We start from the raw sequence: 1300 nt of genomic DNA on the forward strand, positions 1-1300 counted from the left end.
TTTGCCTTTGGTTTGAATTTCCTCCTGTAGCTCGGAGTAGTTTGATCGTCTGAAGCCTTCTTCTCTCAACTCATCAAAATCATTCTCCGTCCAGCTTTGTTCCGTTGCTGGTGAGGAACTGCGTTCCTTTGGAGGAGGAGAGGTGCTCTGCTTTCTAGAGTTTCCAGTTTTTCTGCTCTGTTTTTTCCCCATCTTTGTGGTTTTATCTACTTTTGGTCTTTGATGATGGTGATGTACAGATGGGTTTTTGGTGTGGATGTCCTTTCTGTTTGTTAGTTTTCCTTCTAAGAGACAGGACCCTCAGCTGCAGGTCTGTTGGAGTTTGCTAGAGGTCCACTCCAGACCCTGTTTGCCTGGGTACCAGCAGCAGTGGCTGCAGAACAGCGGATTTTCATGAACTGCGAATGCTGCTGTCTGATCGTTCCTCTGGAAGTTTTGTCTCAGAGGAGTACCTGGCCCTGTGTGGTGTCAGTCTGCCCCTACTGGGGGGTGCCTCCCAGTTAGGCTGCTCGGGGGTCAGGGGTCAGGGACCCACTTGAGGAGGCAGTCTGCCCATTCTCAGATCTCCAGCTGCGTGCTGGGAGAACCACTGCTCTCTTCAAAGCTATTAGACAGGGACATTTAAGTCTGCAGAGGTTACTGCTGTCTTTTTGTTTGTCTGTGCCCTGCCCCCAGAGGTGGAGCCTACAGAGGCAGGCAGGCCTCCTTGAGCTGTGGTGGGCTCCACCCAGTTCGAGCTTCCTGGCTGCTTTGTTTACCTAAGCAAGCCTGGGCAATGGCGGGCGCCCCTCCCCCAGCCTCACTGCCGCCTTGCAGTTTGATCTCAGACTGCTGTGCTAGCAATCAGTGAGACTTCGTGGGCGTAGGACCCTCCGAGGCAGGTGCGTGATATAATCTCCTGGTGCGCCGTTTTTTAAGCCTGTCGGAAAAGCGCAGTATTAGGGTGGGAGTGACCCGATTTTCCAGGTGCCATCTGTCACCCCTTTCTTTGACTAGGAAAAGGAACTCCCTGACCCCTTGTGCTTCCCGAGTGAGGCAATGCCTCGCCCTGCTTCGGCTCACGCACGGTGCGCTGCACCCACTGTCCTGCACCCACTGTCTGGCACTCCCTAGTGAGATGAACCCGGTACCTCACATGGAAATGCAGAAATCACCCGTCTTCTGCGTCGCTCACGCTGGGAGCTGTAGACCGGAGCTGTTCCTATTCGGCCATCTTGGCTGGCAGTTCCCTGGCATTCTGTAGGTTTAGAAAAGACTTGGAAGAAAATATTCAAAACAGAGGGACTAGAGAAGGAATTAG

General features: G+C 53.1%; 1 annotated feature.

The window, feature by feature from the left end:
• Positions 316-938: an enhancer, noted in NCBI's record as "H3K27ac-H3K4me1 hESC enhancer chr13:46243444-46244066 (GRCh37/hg19 assembly coordinates)". NCBI's record gives its function as "activates a minimal SCP1, AML or CMV promoter by ChIP-STARR-seq in naive H9 embryonic stem cells {active_cell/tissue: H9 hESC(naive)}" and the evidence as "EXISTENCE:reporter gene assay evidence [ECO:0000049][PMID:30033119]".

Source organism: Homo sapiens, chromosome 13, assembly GCF_000001405.40.
Source record: "Homo sapiens chromosome 13, GRCh38.p14 Primary Assembly".
NCBI lineage: Eukaryota > Metazoa > Chordata > Mammalia > Primates > Hominidae > Homo > Homo sapiens.